Raw genomic sequence first — 18,006 nt, 5'->3', positions numbered from 1 at the left:
GACTTCTCCTCAGCTGTTCTCTGCCTGTGCAGGTGAGGCAGCGGAGGTGGTTGGTCCAGAGAGAACTAAAAGAAGTTGTTTTCTTGGACTATAGGTCCAGCTGCAAGGCAGGGTGCCTTTCCTATGTGTTCCTCTTTTCACTAAAAGACTCAAAATGCTTTAGCAGCTAGATCTGGAACTAACTCTTCTGGATGGGGTAGGAACTTCCCTGCCCTTCCCTTAGGGAAGCTCATGTTTCCAAGTCAGACAGCAGGGGGCATTGGGTGCCTTTCGGACAGAAGGAAGCTGCCTAAGCTAGAAGGCCTGCCTGCTGGAGTTTATTTCTTTTGCCTTGTTCAGTGAATTTACCCAGAGGGTGGCTGAGATTGAGGCTTTGGGAGCCCCAAGAAGCTGCTTGGTTTTAATGTGCTGCCTTATAGCTGAGCCTGTTGTGCTCAGGGCAAGTAGTAGGATGTTCCCCCTGGGATGTGCAAGGTTCTCTCAAGCAGACATGAGCCTCCATCACTCCCACCACTCCCTGCAACTCAGCCTCCTCTTCTCAGCCTGTGCCTTCCTCCAGTTCTAGTAAACACTGCCAAATGAATATAGTTCTCCGACTCTTCTCTGGGGGTTCATTGGCAGCTGCTGCTTTCTTCATTTTTTAAAATTTATTTGCCACTTGGTGAAAGCCACTGAGATGGTTTTTTCCAGCCTTGGGCAAGTTGGAGCTTTGGAATCTGGAGTGAATGAGGTCATCTGGATTTCATTGTCTTCTTACGAAGCCAGCAGTAAGCTTGGGCAGTCCACTCACCCACCCCTAGGGCCATATCTGGGGATGAAGCCACCCCCGACCTATACATAGGAAATGATTGATGTGCCTGGTCTTATACCCAGTCTGTGTCTGGTTTCTCTACCCTCAGTGCCCTTTGGCTTAGGCTCAGGATGGGTGGGCCTCCCTTCCCCAGCAGCTGCCTCAGCCCTGATCAAGGGCAGTTATTTGGCTCAAGGTGAGTAGTGGTTTTTAAACCCTACTCCCACACACTGCTGAGTCTGTGTTTTCCTTTCTTCCTGACCAGGTAAACTGTCTTGAGCCCCACCCTCACCTGCCTGTGCTGGCAACCAGTGGCCTAGACCATGATGTGAAGATCTGGGCACCCACAGCTGAAGCTTCCACTGAGCTGACAGGGTTAAAAGATGTAAGTGGCTGACTGCAGAAGTTATTTTCTTTCTGCTTATCCACATACTGTTGATTCTTATTGTCATAGGGAGGAATAACTTGCTGCCCAGTTCTTTAAAGGCACTGCTCTAACACCCTCCCCCACATTCCTGTAATTTCCTCTGTAGGAATAGTCCTGCTCCAGGGGGCAGCTGTGAAGTGGCACTAATTTGTAATAGGATGGGGATAAGGAGCATCTTTAAGAATTATTCTGTATTAAAGCCTGCTACCTTTTCAGCAGCTGAACCTAGGGCATCATTTCCTAATCTAATGTAGCTCCACTTCAACTTAAGGGAAGCTTTTATTGGGATAGGAGATCAGCCTTCTTGATCAGGTCCCGGGTTCCTCTTCATTGCTGCCCCCTCTTCCCAACCTTTTTGGGTTCCAGGTGATTAAGAAGAACAAGCGGGAGCGGGATGAAGATAGCTTGCACCAAACTGACCTGTTTGATAGTCACATGCTGTGGTTCCTTATGCATCACCTGAGACAGAGACGCCATCACCGGGTAAGCTAGGGTTGGAAATGAATTCCCAAGGGAGTGACCCTTTTAAGAGGGCTAAAAAGTTCCAGAGTAGTGACTTCAAGCAGTAATCAGGTGATCTTGGTCGGATTTCCTATCCACTGTCCTCTGTCCCCATCAGATCCCTGATATAGCCTTGGAAGAGACATCAGCAGAAAAGGGTGGTATCTACTTTTGTCCATTGCCGTCCATGTGTAATGCTATCTTCATAAAGGCAAAAGCTGGAGGGTGGAGGAGGGAATTGAGAAGAAATAACAAGTCTCAGTGTGACCCTTCTATTTTTCCTCTTATGCCAAAAGAGGCCTAGTTCAGGGGTTGGCAAACTGGCAGTTGGCCTGCTGCTGGTTTTTGTAAATAAAGTTTCATTGGCTTGCAGCCATACCCATTCTGTGTATTGTCTGTGGCGGCCTTCACGCTACAATGAGTTGAATAGTTGCAATAAAGACCATATAGACCACAAGTCTAAAGTATTTACTCTCTGGCCCTTTAAGAAAAATTCTGCTGATCTCTGGCCTAAAGCATCTAAATTCTGGCTAAGACCTAACAGGCTTGTCCTTGTTCCATCCAGGGAAGTTACTAACAAGCCTTTCCCATCCACAGCGCTGGCGAGAACCTGGGGTTGGGGCCACAGACGCGGACTCTGATGAGTCTCCCAGCTCCTCAGACACATCGGACGAGGAGGAGGGCCCTGACCGGGTGCAGTGCATGCCATCTTGAGGCCTCATACCTAGGTGGGGCAGGCTGGGGCTGCCAACCTGATCCTGCCTGGGCAACCCTTTCCTGTCCCAGGCCCTACATTCAGCAGAAACGCACTTTGGACTTTTTGCTTTAGATAAAAGAAAGACATCCCAGGAGAAGGACAAACCAGAGGAGTGAACCAACAAAGAGTACCTAGGAATGGGAGTTGAGCCCTGGAATGGGGCTCTATGGAGAGGTGCATAGGACTCGGCAGAAATGGCCTCTCCCCAAAGCCTCTTTTTGAGAGGAGAGGGAAGCCTATTTTGTTAACTGGTTTGGGATAGGGAATGGGGTTTCTTTTTCTTTAATCTCCCTTGTTTCTTGGGCTGGGGGAGGGGTGGGGGGAACAACTGGCTATTCAGTACCAAGGGGCCAGAGTGGAGGGTAGGAGTGCCACTCTCTCTTTGGTTTAGGTTTTTGACCTTTTCTTCCTTTGTTTTTTAAAAGTTTATGACAGTTGGCTCCCCCCCCACCCCCAGCAACCCCATCCCAGAATCCTATTTTCCTGGGAAGTCCTTAAAGCCCCTAACCATCCCACACTCTTCACTTTCCTTTCCACCTTATTCATTCTCTGTACTTACCACAGTATTTTGCACTTGATTACATATCCTTCACTCTCTTCTCTTCATCCCATCACCCCCTAAATAGGTCAGGTGAGGGAGGCTGGGAAGAGGTGGGAGGAGGGGCAGAAGTGAAGGAAGAATAGGAAGGATATTACCTCTTCTGTTATTTTTTTAAGAAACATTGTTTGGTGGCAGCAATCTCCCTGTCCCTATCACTGTTAGAGGCCTAATTTTATATCTATAAATATATTAAAAAGCAAGTCAAACTTGGATGTATCAAGGTAAAATTATTGTCAAAGTTTAAATACCTATATATTCTCTGAATGCAATAAAGGGACTTAAGAGTGAACAAGAGTAATGGTGTGGAAGTGACACCTGGGGTCAGTTTACCTCTGTGTATGGTCACTAGAGATTGGGACTTACCCTTTAGGTTTTAGGAGGCTTGAGAATGGAAGGATCCTCATTTCTGCCCTTCCTGGTTCCCTGCTTTGGTGTAGGGGTTGGGAAAAACAGGAAATTCCTCTCAGCTCTGCCTCAGATCTCCTACCTCTCCTTAAGTCTTGTAGGGGGTTCCAAGGATGGCTCTTCTAACCAGAGGCTGGCCTGTCTTTAAAACTTAACTACTTTAGGGTGGTGCCACCACTGCAGACTATTGTGGTACTTTGTGACAGAAGACATGTACACACACACCACACACATACATACACACTCTCTCACTCTGTCTCTCTTACCTTTAGCTGCTTGATCATTAAGCCATCCAACTTCATGCCAGTTCCCTTCTTTATAGAAGAGTGAAGGGAAAGACTTCCTGGGTTTGACTTAAACCTTGTCCACCTCTTGATATTTTAGGATTGAGGAATAAGTCATTAATCTAAGGACTGATTACAGTGGCTGGAGCTTGGGCACTTGTCTTATCACTGGTCACTGAGTCTGAAAGTCCCAGCTGAATTCTTGCCCTTAAGTGCTTTTGCTGCTATTTTTTTGCCCCCAGTTCCACAAGATCCAACCAAGAATTCTGTATCCTGGGACAGTCAGATTCTTCTAAATCAGGCCAGGAAGGAGGGGAAAAGAGTGAGAGAATGGTATTCCCAGATACTTCTTCCTCCTGCCCCTTTTCCCAGCAGCTCTGAGACCAGATGTTGGCTGCTGTACTTACTCCCTGAGGTAGGGAATGTGTGGTGATCGAGTGGTCTGTGTTCCTATTGCTGGTGGGGTGATAGGGTGGGCTAAAAACCATGCACTCTGGAATTTGTTGTATTTTCTCCCAGTAAAGCTTTTCTTCTCCCGACTGCTGCTCTGTGTGGTATGTGGTCCATTTATTCACAATGGATGGTTTTTGTTCCTACTAATGTAGGTACCTAGCCTTCCCCTCTCATTCTGCACATGATACAGTGTTAGAAAGTCCATTTTGGGAGACCCGTATTTCCAGTGCTTGGGCTCCAATTGGAGACTGTTGGAAGTAGGATACACTCCATTTAGCTCAGTGATACTTAGGAGATTGGGTGGGGTGAGGGTATACACTTGGGGTATTTTCCCAGCCCTTATTCTGGGCCATAAATATTGTTCCCCCTCCCTTCCCAGTGATTCAAAGCCTGCAAAATCCTGGTCACTCACAGAAATTTTAAAATCAGTTAGTTGCAATACAATCAATCACCTTTATTCCGGGTTAGAACAAGGCCGTGCACACTGCAGACAGAAGAGCACAAGATAGGGGCAATCTCACAGCAATATAAGGAGTGGGTGGGCAGGTTAGTCTTTTTAGATTATTTTGCCTTACAGAGAAACTACTAGACTCTGCTGAAAAGAACCCTGTCTCTCTTCTCCCATTTCTTCCATAAGAAAGGCTCCTTATTCTCTCTCTCACTCTAATGTAACATATCCCAAATGGAAGGACAGTTCATGCTCATTCCCCCCACCCAATTCTACAAGTATCTCTCTCTTCTTAAGGGAGAAGCCAGACAGGGAAAGGGAGACTTGGGAAGGTCCTTTAAGGCAAAACTGTGGAGTCCTAGAGGTGTGTGTGTTAAGGCAGGTGTCTGCAGCAGTGGCCAGAGGGGCAGGGCACGCTAGGCTGGGCTAGGAGTTAAGAGTACTGTCTAACCAGTCTGGCTTCTTCCTTCTTCCAGCAGCCAGCCCTCCCCTCCCATTAAAGTTTTACTCCCACATCCTAAAAGCTCCTAACTTGAACTTTGTCTAAATAGTCTCTGAGACTGCATGTGAATTTAATGTTTTTTGAAAAAGCCTTCTTTTTTGTTTGGACTATGTAGCAATTTGATTCTGCCACTCCCTTCACTGTGGCATTCCCCTCCCACCCCCGCTCTGGCCTAGACAATAAGTTAATGCTAGACACCACAAAAAAGGGCAGACATGGCAGTGCAGTTTTAATATACATATATGTAGAATATATATGTACACACAGTTAGCACGGTCAGGGTGGGGAGGGGCATCTTGGGGTAGGCAGGAGGCTGGGGTCACTCACTGTACTGTAGTGATGTGGCTAGGAGGTGTTCACAAGCCCAGGGGGCCAGGATATCTAGTAAAGAAGGGTTTCCTAAGTAAGTCCCTTCCGGGATTGAATTGGGGTGGGGATCGGTGCAAAGGAAAACACTGTAGTTAACTTCTTTCTGGCTTGGGATGTTCTTCACCAAGGAGAGAGGGAAGGTTGCCTACAATAACCAAGTTGGGACCCTATAGATGGTGGTGTCAGGATTCGTGTTAAAACCTAAGGGTCTCATTCTTCAACCTCCCTAGGTTTAGAGTGCAACAGTCTGAGTAGGAACAACTGAGTGGAAGAGGGGGCTCCCCTCTCTCTGCCCTCATCCCCATCTCAGGCTCAGTGGTACATGTTCCCAGCACAGTCTCTCCAGAGTACAGGTGGGTGGGGGCATCTAACGCTGGCTGCTCCATGGGGTTTGATCTTAGGGACCAGGAAAGGATCCCTGGCTCATACCTATGCTAGGCCCATGAGAGACAAAAAGGGACCTGCTGGTACTCAGGAAACAGTCCAGCACAGGAGTACAAACATGGAACTCTGGCTTTTCTTTGCCCCTTCCAGGTGGGGGTTGAGTGGTCTCTTTGCCTTCCGTCCCCACTGCTTTTCCCTGGATCCACCTACCTCTCCCATACCTTACCCCTATGTCAGCTCCTCAATGTAGGAAAATGCAGGTCCTTTCTGCTTCCACACTTTAAAGATATGGGGGGAGTGGAGGAAAGGGAAGTAGGAGGAATGTGCTGATTTCTATTTGCATAGAAATAGCCCCCACCTCCTCCTAAAGTGGGGAAACTCAGCCCCCTCCCCTAGCCCCTGACCCCCATCCCCTTAAGAAGAGGAACTAGATGAGCTAGACATATAGACAAACAGCCAGAGCGTGCGCACACGCACACACACGCGCACAGTAAGGGGGTTAGGACCAGGTTAGTAAGTGGGTAGATGGTGGGTTGCCCTTGCCCCCTCTCCTGGAGGATGGGGGAAGGGAGTGGTCTGATGAAGGTCCAACCTTCCTCCTCTTCCTCCCCCTTGCTCAGGCCTTCTTCGGTGGGGGAGCCAATTTGATGATCTCTTCCTCAGAGGGCTGCCGGATAATGTCTGGGGGCAAAAAGGTATGTGTCCAGGGACAGCAGTGTGGGAGATGCCAGGCAGGCCCATTGGGCATCTGCCTCCACTCTCCCAAAACTCAAGTACTCCAAGGATAGTCAACGGGACGAGGCAGAGGTGCAGCTAGTTAAAGGAGTGGCCGCTTACCTTTGTACTTCTTGGCACTGGGGATACGGGTTAGCTTGGTGTCCAGCTCATCCTCCTCAGAGATCTTCAGCACACGGGTTCTGTAGTCAACCACCATAGTGAGTAGGTCAGGACGGCGGGAGATCTCAAAGATGTGCTCAATGTAGGAGAGGTTGTCTGGAGGAAGGCAGGAGATAGGGTCAGAGCTAGGCTGTAGAGGTCAGCTTCCCCTACTCCACCAGACTAGTGACCTGGAACCAAAGCTGAGTTGCTGACATTGGTTATGGGAGGGTACAACACTGGAGGAAGAGGGGCTACTAATCCAGGAGAAGAAAGCTAAGGTACCCAAACAACAATACAGAGGACTGTTCGCAGGAAGGGCAGATAGTTGGTCAGTGAAGTTTCTAGATTGTGGTTAGAATGAGGGGTTTAGCTTAGATACTAGCTCCCATATGTTGTGGGGAGGGGACAAAAGAAAAATCAACTTGACTTCCAGATACCCCACCCCCACCCCCATCCTTTTCCACTTTCCATCCAAGTAAGTATCAGAATTTGCTGACAGCACATGTAGGACCAGCAGGGTGGAATCTCTAGGCAACCCAGGAGAGATTCTGGGCCTGGTGAGAAAGGTTATTCTAAATGAGAGAAGGTATGGACACCACCAGAAGGACGATGTCCATGGCTTGGCCAATTCCAGGAGATTATAGATGCCCTTAGACCTTCTTCCCTGGCTCCTCCCCTCTGACTGTTGCCATACAGTCTAACTGTAACACGTCCTCCTTTATACGTTCTCCCTGCCAGCCACACAGCAGTCAGAATAGTATATCTGAAGGGCCCTGAGTTCACTCACCTCACCTATCCAATACCCAGGCTCTCTACAACACAGTCTTACCTTACCTTCCCAGCCATTTCTAAACACCCTACATCCTAGTCAAGCCAAGCAGGACTGATTGCATTTCCAAACACACTAGATACTCTGTGACAGTGTTCCTCTGCCTGGCATGCCCTCCTTTGGATCTTGCCTTAGAAATCCCACTCACCTTTCAGGGCCATCTTAAACACCAATTCTTCCCTAAAGCCTCCAGCTGTGAGGGATTACTCTAATCCATAGATCCCACTCCCCAAGCAGTAGTCTCTCAAAGTGGATAAGAAAATGATAGAACTTGTAGTTTTAAATTTTACCAGTTTTTAAAAAATGCTTAACAAAGATTAGTATTACTATTTACCAGTTAGATTACACTTCGAGTTCTCCCCTCATTCAGGTATTCTTCCATTTTTATTGTCTAGAATTCTTCCCAATTTTTGCCACTTAAAATTTTACTATTTTTAGATTGTTTTTATGTTCTGTTGTATATGTGATAATAGCACAGGAGTATCTGAATAACATTTTTTACCGATGAGGGGCACAGTGAAAAATGTCTAAGGCCCCCATACTCTTAGAGCACCTCTCTTCTGCCTTGCTATAGAGGGGTACACATTGTGGATGTAAAAGCTTTGAGCTCATCTCTATTTGCTGAATGAACTGAGCCTGAATGACTGATGACAGGACCCCTGTGCTCCCCTCCCCCACCTTTGTCCAGCTTGTTGTGGCTCTCCAGGAAGCTAAACCAGGCACTGCCAGTAGTGATCTCCTCACTCTTTTCGCTGGGGATGTCTTCCTTGCAGGCCGACTTGAGCTGTTCTAGATCTTCAAGGGTGATGTTGTTGGTCAGGTCTTGCAGGAGGGTCCCGTACTCAGCCATGACTGGGGTTGGGAGGCGACAAAGGGATAGGAGTTGAGCTTAAGGTATGGAGTCTGGTTTACTCACTGGCACTACCCTCCTACTCCCCACTCTGCCCTACCAGGCATGTGCCTGGAACATGGAGGCTGGAGGTGGCTAGGGCTGGAGGGAGAAAAGGAAGACCTAGGGGAGGCAGTCAGGGTAGACGGGAAGCTAGGAGCCAGGCTGGAGCCTAGAGTGACAAGTCATACCTCCTTCCCCCCACCATCTTTTTCTTCTGTTTTCCCCCTCTAACAGTAACCCTGGCAACAGTTCCCCTGACTGAGGAGGCGGTTACCATAGCAACCTGCTCCCGACTTTCTCACCCGCTCTCTCCAAGTCCCCCCTCAGAATCGCCCCACCCACTTCCAACCCCTCCCCATGTCAGGGAAAAAAAACTCCAAAACAACCAGGGCGAGGCTTGCTGTGGCAGTGAGAAGCTGAGAAAGAGCTGGAGGGTCTGGTAGGAACTCATGTGTTCTAGCTTCCCCATTCTGCCTCAAAGGCAAAGGGGTCCCTCACTTCAACTCCCCACCACCCCACTAATGACTCATTTTGGATAGATGCCTAGTTGCTTGGTCTGATGGTTCCTTGGCCCCACCATGCTAGCCTTGTATTCAGTCATTAGGGTTCGAGGTGGGGGAAGCAATGGACCACCCCCACCTTTGTGGAGCCCATTTTCTCCTTTGATGGTTACCAGGCCCCCACTCAGCTCTCTCTCCTACCCTTTGTGCTGTGCCTGCAGCCCCCGTGCCCAAGAATACCAAGCAACTGGCTCTGGCCCCCTGCCCAGTTCCCAGGCTGGCTGGGTGGTGGGGGGAGGGGACTTTAGATGCGGCTTTGGGAGAATGGCAAAAGGGGACTGCCCCCCCTTCTCGTATCGTATCAACATCCTACTGGCACTACCTTCAGCATGGTCTGATGAGATCAGCAAGGCCAGATCTCACCTAGGCTTTCACCCTATCCCTCTTTCATGATCCTTAGGTGAGAAGTAGAGAACATTCAAGGCCTTCCTTCCACTAAGATAGGAACTGTGGCTAAGACAGAAGAAAGAAGGTCAGATGTTTGAATGGACTTTCTGGATTTGATAAAATGTGACACTAGTGGTAAGCTCAAAAATGGAACTTATTTCCACAATGAGTATCTATTTCCTTTTAGTCAGAAAAGTAAAGCATGTTTTAAAAAGTAAATTGTATCATAAACACTCTGTATGCGACTAGACCAAGGGGTGGGCAAGCAGCAAGATGACCTTGTCCCTGACGGAGGCTGCCTGCAAATCACCCCAGCATTAGGCTGGGAATGTGGCAGATCAAAGGGGCTTGGTTGACACATTCACATTTTCCTTCTTGCTCTACTGCAGGGGAACTGAGATTGGCATGGTGGTCACAAAATAAGAGATACAGACCCAGAAGTCCCCATTCCCAGCCCCCTACCTGGACCAGAATAAACAAGCCTCCCTTGGTGGCAGGCACCATGACACAGGCAGACAATGAGCCAGACAGGAGGGCTACCATGACCCCCGCAAGAAACAGGCAGTCATAGGCATGCTCAGTTGCACACCCAGGTGCAACCAGACAGAAGGGCCCAGCAGTGGCCCTGCCAGGCCGGGCCAGGAACAATGCTCTCTGACTGTCAGCACCAGGAACTGTCTCTGCCTTGAAATCTAGGTCACAGCAGCAAGCTCTGGAGCCCAACCCCCCTCACTTCACTGATAATCCAAGGACAGAAGGAGGGGGGTACGGGTGAGGGGGATGATGGGGAGGGGACTAGAGATGGAGATAAGAATGAGTAGGGGGGCATGAGTACAACTGGAAGGGAAAGCGCAGCAGGAGACAAGAAGACCCTGCCCCAGTGGAGGAAACTCTGGGGCCAAGCCCTCAGCTGGAAAAGGGGGCAGGATTGGGGGTTATACTTCCCTGCTTTCATATGGAAGGAGAGTTTGTAAATATTACAGATCCTGCGGGAGGAAAGAGTGCATCTGTGTGTGTGTCTGTGTGTGTGTGTGTGTGTGTGTGTCGGGAGGAGTTCAGATTTAGGGCTTTGAATCTAAAACAGATCTACAGAGGAGGTAGGCGGGAAGAGATTAATGTGTGTAACACACTCACCCACAAAGACTTGGGGGCAGTGGGTAGGAGCTTTCTAAGAGAGTGAAAGATACAAGGAGGCCCCTAAGAGAGATGGGGGTAGGAATGTTAAAGTGGCAGAGGAGAAATGTGTGTGTGCTCGGATCTTATGGATGCTAATCCCCGGGTTGTGGGCACAGCTCTGGAGGAGGCAGTGGCTGGGTATCTGTGGGTGTGTTTGGATGTTCTGGTAATGGAGGTGTATGTGCCAGCACTGGATATATGGCTGTGGGTGCACTGGCTGTGAGTATCTGTCATGTGTGTGTTTGTATGTGTCTAAACCAGCCAAGAGCATGTGTAAGAAGGCATATAACCACAGGCTCACATCCAGAGGGGTGAGGGGAGCCTACAGAATGGAGAAAGAGAGCTGGAGTTGGGAGACAGAAAGAGACTAAGGCTGCAAATGAGGCATGGGGGGCGAGGGGGAGGAGAGCATACAGTCCACAACTATAGAAGGCTGTAGCCTCATCTCATCTGTTACTATAGCAACCTCAGTTCTGGGTGCCCCCCACCCCCAGTCGTTAGGATGACACCACTAGATGGGAGGAGTGTAGGGAATGGTGAGTAAGAAGGGACAGAAAGGATAGGAATAAGGCCCCCTGACGGTACAAGGAAAGGCAGCCCAGTTGCCTCCCTTCTTGGAGAGATCCATTTGCCTAGGCCTTAGTATGGCAGAAGAAGCAAAGGGAGTGTTGTTTAGGGGAACTGCTCTCAATTCTCACTGATCAACAGTTGTACCTGGGCTGGTCTGGCCTGGCCATGGTGGGGCTTGGCAGAGCTTGTTTCCTTCATCCTCCATGTCACTTTCCTCACCAGAGATTCAGATTTCCTTAGGGCTCGTGGAGAAATCTGCTCTCTGGGCTCTGAAAAATCCTCCTGATTTCTGGAGCAGTGCAGAGAGCTGCTCAGGGATCACCAGGCAGTCTGGGCGGAGGCCATTCTTGGGACAGGATACCAGGGCAGGAATCAGGAACCGGAGCCCCGGCTGCCAGGAAGTCAGTCCTCTTCCCTCCCAGCTTTCTGTGCTAGGCTCACCGCTTCCTCACACCTTCCTTCCTTCCTGCCTCCCTCTCCTTCCAAGCTGGCCCCAGGCACAGCCCTGACAAAGGTCAAACCAACTGAGGATGCTGGGGAAGAGGGGCAGGAGGTAAGGACCATTATATACTGACCTTTTAGGGTGGGACAGGTGGGAGCTCCATGGGCACTGGGGTAAGAAGAGCCAGGCCCTGGGAGTGCTTTGAGAAGCCTGGCAATTGGGATAACCACCTGTGGAGGAGGTGGCAGCACCAAAAGAATTTCTGTGCATTTTGACATTAAGTCGTGGTAGATTATCCCTTCTAACGTTTGGTTCCAAATCCTCTGTAAATTCGAGAAGGAAGCCTGAAGATTAAGAGTTGCTGCCCGTCCCTCTTCCACATCTGTTGCAGCTGCCTAAGCCTGAGGGGAGGGGCCATCCCAGACAGCTGCAAGGACCTAGAGGTCCCTGTATTGGGCAGGAGGGGACTCCCAGGCACTCAAGTCTGTCAGTCTTCTGCCTGAAGTTGGAAGTAATCACGGAGAGGCAGAGGGGTTGGAAGGGAGAGAGTAGGGGTCCAGCTTTCCTATTTTAAATTATAACTGGGCCCCAAATTCAAGCAGTCCTGTAGTTTATTTCCTTTAATATCATTCTCAATTAATTTCTTCTTTAAGCTTTTTATCCAGCTTTGTGGGGGAGGAGGGGGTTGTCTTTACTCCTGTAACAAGGAAATTGAGGGTTCTGAGGCTCCAGGGTCAGCCTGGAAGTGACGAGAGGCAGGACATCTGGGCCCTAAAATGTTCACTTCAGTCCAAGAAGCAAAATGGATTACCTTTGGGCATGGGGACAAGGATTAGCCTTCAGCCCTTGGTCTAGAAAGAGCCAGACCCAAGATGGGGCATCAGGAGATAGCTGGCACTGGATCAGGCAGAGCAGAGGAGGGCCGGCTGATGGCGAGGAGGGGAATGGGGCCTAGGACTCTCCCCAGCCCATCTCTGTTTCCACTCTTCTGGTGTGGCACTCCCTGCTTCTATTTCTGTCTCTCTCCATCTCTCTCACTCTTTGTCATGCATTTCCTTTCTACTTCATCTTTCAGTCTCTCTTTTCCTCCTTTCTATAGGCTTTCACCCCTTCTAGCATTTCCTACTCACCTATCCAACTTAGTGGTAGCCATGAATACTTAGGACTCCTGAGATCTGTGCTTCACTGTCCCCATCTGAATATTCGGAGCTGCAATTAGGAAGGGGTGAGCATCCCTGCTACAAAAGACAGAGTAAGTTTGGTCGGAGTGGCTTGGAGATTCAGTGGTTGGCTGCCTACCAGCTGGTGAAGATATCCATCATGACATTGTGCGTGAGGATCTGTGTGAGAGAGTGAGGCGCTCTGTGATTCTGTGACCCTCTTCATGCATGATAATACATCCACACATGATGGGCACGGAATTGAGGAAGTAGGCAACCAGGGAAGCCTGCAGCCTAGGGCATCACTGGCAATTTCCCCAATGGAGTATTTAACCACAAAGGGAAGAGCAATTAAAGCTAATCGCTCTGACAGCCTGGGGCCCAGACACACGTACCACTTTCCCTAACTCCCAGTGGTCTCCCCCAACCTTCATCCTCCCTAATTTGTTTAGTGCACTCTCAAACACTGTTTGCACTTCTCTGACCATCTCTTTCTCTCACTTCCTCCCTCTCCCTGGTTCCCTGACTATCTCTAGACCTCTCTGGAGATGTCTGTCTGCTTCTCACACACATTCCTCTCATTCTCTCTCTGACTTGGGTTCCATTCTTGGCTGACTCATACCCATTCTTTTTCCTCTCCGTTTCTTCCACCCCCTCCTCCTCCATCCCTTGGCCACTCTTACCCAGAAACTAGCCACTCCCAGCACGCTAAGCCCTAACTGGACCCAGGAAGAGAAGCCACCAGAAGCCCCTACCCTCATTAGTCCGCAAAATCCTGTCTCCTTGTGTTAGAGGAATGAGACCAAGATTTTCTCCCATCTTTCCCCACAGTTTTAAAGAGGAACAATCTGAAACCATGGGGCTGGGAAAAGCTGCCAGAAAATCAGGATGGATTTGGGGACAGTGGCCCTTTCTGTCCACTCAGCTGTCCTGTCGGACTGATGACTTGGAGCCCGCAGTTCAGAAGACTCCTCATGGGATGCCCCACCCCACAGAGTGGGGGTGTGGTGGGCGGCCGGATGCGTAGTCCAGGGACGTTTGTGATTTGGAGTGTGCTAGACTATGTGTATAAGTCACATGGGTGTGTGTCACTGTGTGTGCTGGCGTGCCTTATAGGTGTGCGTGTTTCCCTGTCAGTTTTGACACGGATTATATGAAATTAATAAGGGTTTTTACGTTAGATATACATCACTTCTCTACACCCCCAGCTCCTCCTTCCCTCTGGACAAGCTTTCCGCCAAGCCCACCTCTTCCCCAGGTGCAGTGAGCTGGGGGTGAGGGCACATGGTACCAGCCGCCCGCGGAACCGAGACAGGGCTGGGCCGGGAGACCGCCAGCGGAGGCGAGTCCGAAGCCTGAGCGGGGAGGGAGGGGCGGGCGCTGGCCTGGCCGAGCCGGCTGGGCGGGAAGCAGGCTGCATCCTAATCCACAGGCCCCGGTCCGACTCCCAAACTGCCGTTCAGCGTGGAACGGGCTGGCCGGAGCCACGCCGCCTCCAGCACACGCTCGGCGCTCGGGACGCACCGACCGAGGGACGGACCCCGTGAGGCCTGACACAAAGTGGACTCGTCCGGGGTCCCCACACTCCCCGTCTGGCCCCCGGTGTCCCAGATCGTTGCCCCTCCAAGCCTAGACCCCGAAATCTGCCCCTTCCCCGCGACATGTCTCCTCTCCGCCCCTCTCACCGCCTCTGGAGCTGAGCGCTCAGGGCGCGGGCACTCCTGAGTCCCCGGTTCCTAAGCAGCGTCCGGAACCTCCTCCTCGGCTCCCGCCGCCGCCGCCGCCGCTTCTGCCGCCGCCGCCGCCTCTTCCGCCCGCGGAGCCGGAGCCCGAGCCCAGCGCCGCTCACTCCACCCGGCTGGCCGGTGATGTCAGAGCCGGGGAGGGGCGGGGGGCGGGGAATGGCGGGAGGAGGGGGAGGGATGGAGAGGCAGGAGGGGGCGGGGGACCGAGGGGCTGGGGTTCTGGAAGACTCCTAGGATGGGGGACAGAATTGGGCGGAGGGCTGGAGCGGAGACGGTCTCTTCCCCCTGAACTGCGAAACAATTCTCATATTTAATTCTTACCCAGTAGGGCACCCTCCTCCCCTTTTGACCTTTGGATGACCACGGTGCCTAGGACCCCTGGGAGGCACAGAGTAGGTTTGGTTTAGGGGGTTGGAAAGCCTTTGGGGGCTGGATTCTCTTAGCTGCTGGCTTTAATATTTGTAAAAACTTCTTGCCTTGCCTTAAGGGTCAGGGGCGCAGTGGAAAATGACTGATCAGACTTATCCACATTGGGAGTGAGGGGTTGGGGCCACATGGGGACTTGAGGAGCCCTGGATCTTCTCTTTCCAGGATGATGCCTTCAGGCCCTCTTGCGTGCCTCTCACCTTTCCCAAACATGCCCCACTCCTGCCTTCCCCCTACCATGATGTAATTTTATTTTCTGGGGAGAAAAAGAGCAGCAGTGAGCTCAGCATGCAAATATAGACAACTTGCAAAGCCACACTTAGCTCCATCTCCTAGCTCTGCCCCTCTGCCCAGGCCCAATGTGGCAGCTCTCACTTCCCCTCTACCCCAGGGACTTTCCTCCCCCAGATTCTCAGCCAGACTGAAAAGAGGAAAGGAAGAATTGGAGAAGCATCTGTTTTCACCCCCATCTCTATAGCCTAAGGGGTCTTGCCTCAGCTCTGGGCAGGGTTTGGCCCTGGAAAGAAGTCTGACCCTGGGTAGGTCCTTCCTGCCAGGAACTCCAGCAGGCCCAGGTTGGGGGATTCCCCTCAGTGTTTGTGCCACTTCCAGGATCACCCATCTCATCTCAGTTCCTACCTGGCAGAGACTCCTCCAGAAACCTCAAACGAGCCCCTCCTTTCTTGGGTCTACACCATTCCTAGAAGAGGCCCAAGTTCCTGCTGCTCTGGGTTTCATAGCATTTCTCTGCTGTTTCCTCTCCCCAGCATTCCCTGTCACACACTAATCATTTGCCTTTGTATATATCATGTTTGCTCTGTGTTGTAGGGACAAAAACTATTTCGTTGACCCATCTTTGAGACTCATGTAGTTTCTAAGTGAAAGGCTCAGGTCTGGAGGCAACAAGACACAGGGGCCTTGGGCTGCGTGCTAGTTCCACCCATTCCTTGGGCAAGTTATGCCTGAAAGCCTTAGTGTCCTCACCGGTCAGATCAGGGTGCCAATGTCTATTTCTGAGGGTTCTTCTGAGATTCAGAAATAGTAAGTCTCTAGGGACTGGCACAGATGGGTGCTTAAAAAATAGGAGCTATTATTTAGACCGGGGCCTTCCACTGACCTATGCTAGACAGTAAGCTCCACAATATTATTGTAAGACTAGCTTAGTGCCCATACTACTTATTAAACATTTATTAAATAGCTACAAGTTGGAATGAATACATAGTTTCTGCTTTCTACACCCCTGCCACATTCTCTAGGAACACTTCCTGGACTTGTCTGTGGAGAGTGAAAATATATCTAATCTCAGGTCTCATCTTTCCGTACTTAGAAATCCTCTAAGTCTCTCAGCAACAACTTTACACCTGATCCATGAAAAATATAATGTTGGCTTGGCGTGGTGGCTCACGCCTGTAATCCCAGCACTTTGGGAGGCTGAGGCAGGTGGATCACCTGAGGTCAGGAGTTCAAGACTAGCCTGACCAACATGGTGAAACCCCATCTCTACTAAAACTACAAAAAAGTTAGCTGAGTGTGGTGGTGGGCACCTGTAGTCCCAGTTACCTGGGAGGCTGAGATAGGAGAATCTCTTGAACCCGGGAGTCGGAGGTTGCAGTGAACCGAGATCTCACCACTGCACTCCAACCTGGCAACAGAGTGAGACTCCATCTCAAAAAAAAAAAAAAAAAAGAAAAAAATATATATATATACACACACATATATATGTATATGTATATATATATAATGTTTATTATTTATGGGCATCATCTCAAAAATATATATATAATGTTTATTATTTATGGGCTTGTTTAGCTATTTGTATATATTATATATATAAAATGTTTATTGTTCATGGGCATCATCTCAAAACTATATATGTATATGTTTATTATTTATGGGCTTATTTAGCTATTTGGCCCTCCCATCCCCAACTCCCTAAACTCCTTTTTGCTTACCCCAGCCTGGGCCTATTCTGGAAAGACTGTGGGTCCTTCTTGCCAAGACCTCCAGCAGGCCCAGGTCTGGGAGATCCCCATTGTATACAATATCTCCTCTCCATTCCCATGGCCACCACTTGGGTCCATGTTCTCCCAACATCACTCCAATTATTATAACAGTCACTGATTATGGGTTGGGCCCCTTACCTCTGGCATCTCCATCATCTCCCCTCCCCATCCTGCTTATCGCTACCAGATTAAATTTTGCCCTGCCTCCTCGGCTGGCAGGATTCAATTCAAACAGCTCTACAACCCAGCCCCATTATGCTTACCCAACTTCATGGCCACAACTTGATTTTTCTTCTTGTCTCTCTGGTCTCTGTGCCCCCAATATGACAAACATATCCTGCCAGTACTTGATGTTTTCCACTGACTGAAATGTCTCCTCCTCAGCTCCTTTGTCTCCAACCAAATCCCATTCTTCAATTTAAGGCCTAGTAAAGGCTTACTTCCTTTGTGAAGTCATCAAGCCCACTCTGATCTCTCTTCTGAGTTCATTCTGTTCTTTCCTTTGTTCTTCCTTTAGGAAACATTTACTAGGGACAACTTTTGAGTGTCAGACCCTGTGGACACAAAGAAAAAGCTTGGGTTCCTGCCTTCAAGGGGCTCACAGTTGAGTGGGGAAGACAGACACGTAAATGAAGAACAATAACAGACTGTGCTGAGTACTGGAATGGAAGTGCAGCAGGAACTCAGAAGAGGTCATCACTGGAGGGGCCACCTCTGGGAAGGCTTCACCAAGGAAGTATAATTGGAGCTCTGTCTTGATGTTCAAATAAGAGCTGCAGAGAGGGTGCTATCGAGCAGCACATAATCACTTAATTACATATTGCTTTGTATTCTTCTTCGATTGTTTAGTATGCTTGTCTTGACTTCTCCGTGAGGCTAATCAGCTCAAGATCAGGGACAGGCCTAGCACTCTCTGTTCTCCCAGAGCCTAACAGTGGCCCTGGACAAACACCATGTGTTCAGAAAAGGCTTGTTGACTTGAAGCAGATTAACAATCCAGGCTTCTCTGGGAAAGC

The 18,006-nt window shown here is 49.8% G+C and overlaps 2 protein-coding genes and 1 long non-coding RNA gene across 10 annotated transcripts in view, besides 4 other annotated features; 2 read left to right on the top strand and 1 right to left on the bottom strand.

Annotated features, from left to right (window-relative positions):
• DCAF8 (DDB1 and CUL4 associated factor 8) overlaps positions 1-4,304 on the top strand; it is a 46,830-nt gene extending 42,526 nt beyond the window's left edge. For all 3 annotated transcript variants that reach the window (NR_028104.2, NR_028103.2, NM_015726.4), the window contains 3 exons: positions 1,056-1,175; positions 1,584-1,700; positions 2,316-4,304. Coding sequence is in view for 1 of the 3 variants with exons in the window: in NM_015726.4 (NP_056541.2) it covers positions 1,056-1,175; positions 1,584-1,700; positions 2,316-2,432 (354 nt within the window). In the remaining 2 variants the exon portion in view is untranslated. The remainder of the gene's footprint in view (positions 1-1,055; positions 1,176-1,583; positions 1,701-2,315) is intronic.
• Positions 4,652-14,640, bottom strand: PEA15 (proliferation and apoptosis adaptor protein 15). Of its 6 annotated transcripts, NM_001297576.2 has the most exons (6): positions 14,502-14,640; positions 12,787-12,891; positions 11,359-11,560; positions 8,308-8,481; positions 6,759-6,914; positions 4,652-6,602 (listed from the first exon to the last, which is right to left on the bottom strand). In NM_001297576.2, the coding sequence occupies exons 3-6, from the start codon at positions 11,417-11,419 to the stop codon at positions 6,538-6,540; spliced, it is 456 nt and encodes a 151-aa protein (NP_001284505.1). In that variant the 5' UTR covers positions 11,420-11,560; positions 12,787-12,891; positions 14,502-14,640; the 3' UTR covers positions 4,652-6,537. The 6 variants fall into 6 exon arrangements, 5 of the variants coding, with proteins under 5 accessions (NP_001284505.1, NP_001284506.1, XP_047289347.1 ...); NM_001297577.2 differs by lacking the exon at positions 11,359-11,560; XM_047433391.1 differs by having other exon boundaries at positions 11,359-14,640.
• Positions 9,269-9,935: an enhancer, noted in NCBI's record as "H3K4me1 hESC enhancer chr1:160179879-160180545 (GRCh37/hg19 assembly coordinates)". NCBI's record gives its function as "activates a minimal SCP1, AML or CMV promoter by ChIP-STARR-seq in naive H9 embryonic stem cells {active_cell/tissue: H9 hESC(naive)}" and the evidence as "EXISTENCE:reporter gene assay evidence [ECO:0000049][PMID:30033119]".
• Positions 11,155-17,825, top strand: PEA15-AS1 (PEA15 antisense RNA 1). Its single transcript, NR_123725.1, has 5 exons — positions 11,155-11,180; positions 11,637-11,767; positions 13,648-14,686; positions 14,890-14,953; positions 17,508-17,825. It is a non-coding gene; the product is annotated as a PEA15 antisense RNA 1 (long non-coding RNA).
• Positions 14,525-14,784: a silencer, noted in NCBI's record as "silent region_1459". NCBI's record gives its function as "represses an Ori minimal core promoter by ATAC-STARR-seq in GM12878 lymphoblastoid cells {active_cell/tissue: GM12878}" and the evidence as "EXISTENCE:reporter gene assay evidence [ECO:0000049][PMID:35858748]".
• Positions 14,935-14,984: an enhancer, noted in NCBI's record as "active region_1916". NCBI's record gives its function as "activates an Ori minimal core promoter by ATAC-STARR-seq in GM12878 lymphoblastoid cells {active_cell/tissue: GM12878}" and the evidence as "EXISTENCE:reporter gene assay evidence [ECO:0000049][PMID:35858748]".
• Positions 15,335-15,434: an enhancer, noted in NCBI's record as "active region_1915". NCBI's record gives its function as "activates an Ori minimal core promoter by ATAC-STARR-seq in GM12878 lymphoblastoid cells {active_cell/tissue: GM12878}" and the evidence as "EXISTENCE:reporter gene assay evidence [ECO:0000049][PMID:35858748]".

This window comes from Homo sapiens, chromosome 1 (assembly GCF_000001405.40).
Source record: "Homo sapiens chromosome 1, GRCh38.p14 Primary Assembly".
In the NCBI taxonomy this organism is placed as follows: domain Eukaryota; kingdom Metazoa; phylum Chordata; class Mammalia; order Primates; family Hominidae; genus Homo; species Homo sapiens.
This window is presented reverse-complemented; position numbering and strand designations above follow the sequence as displayed.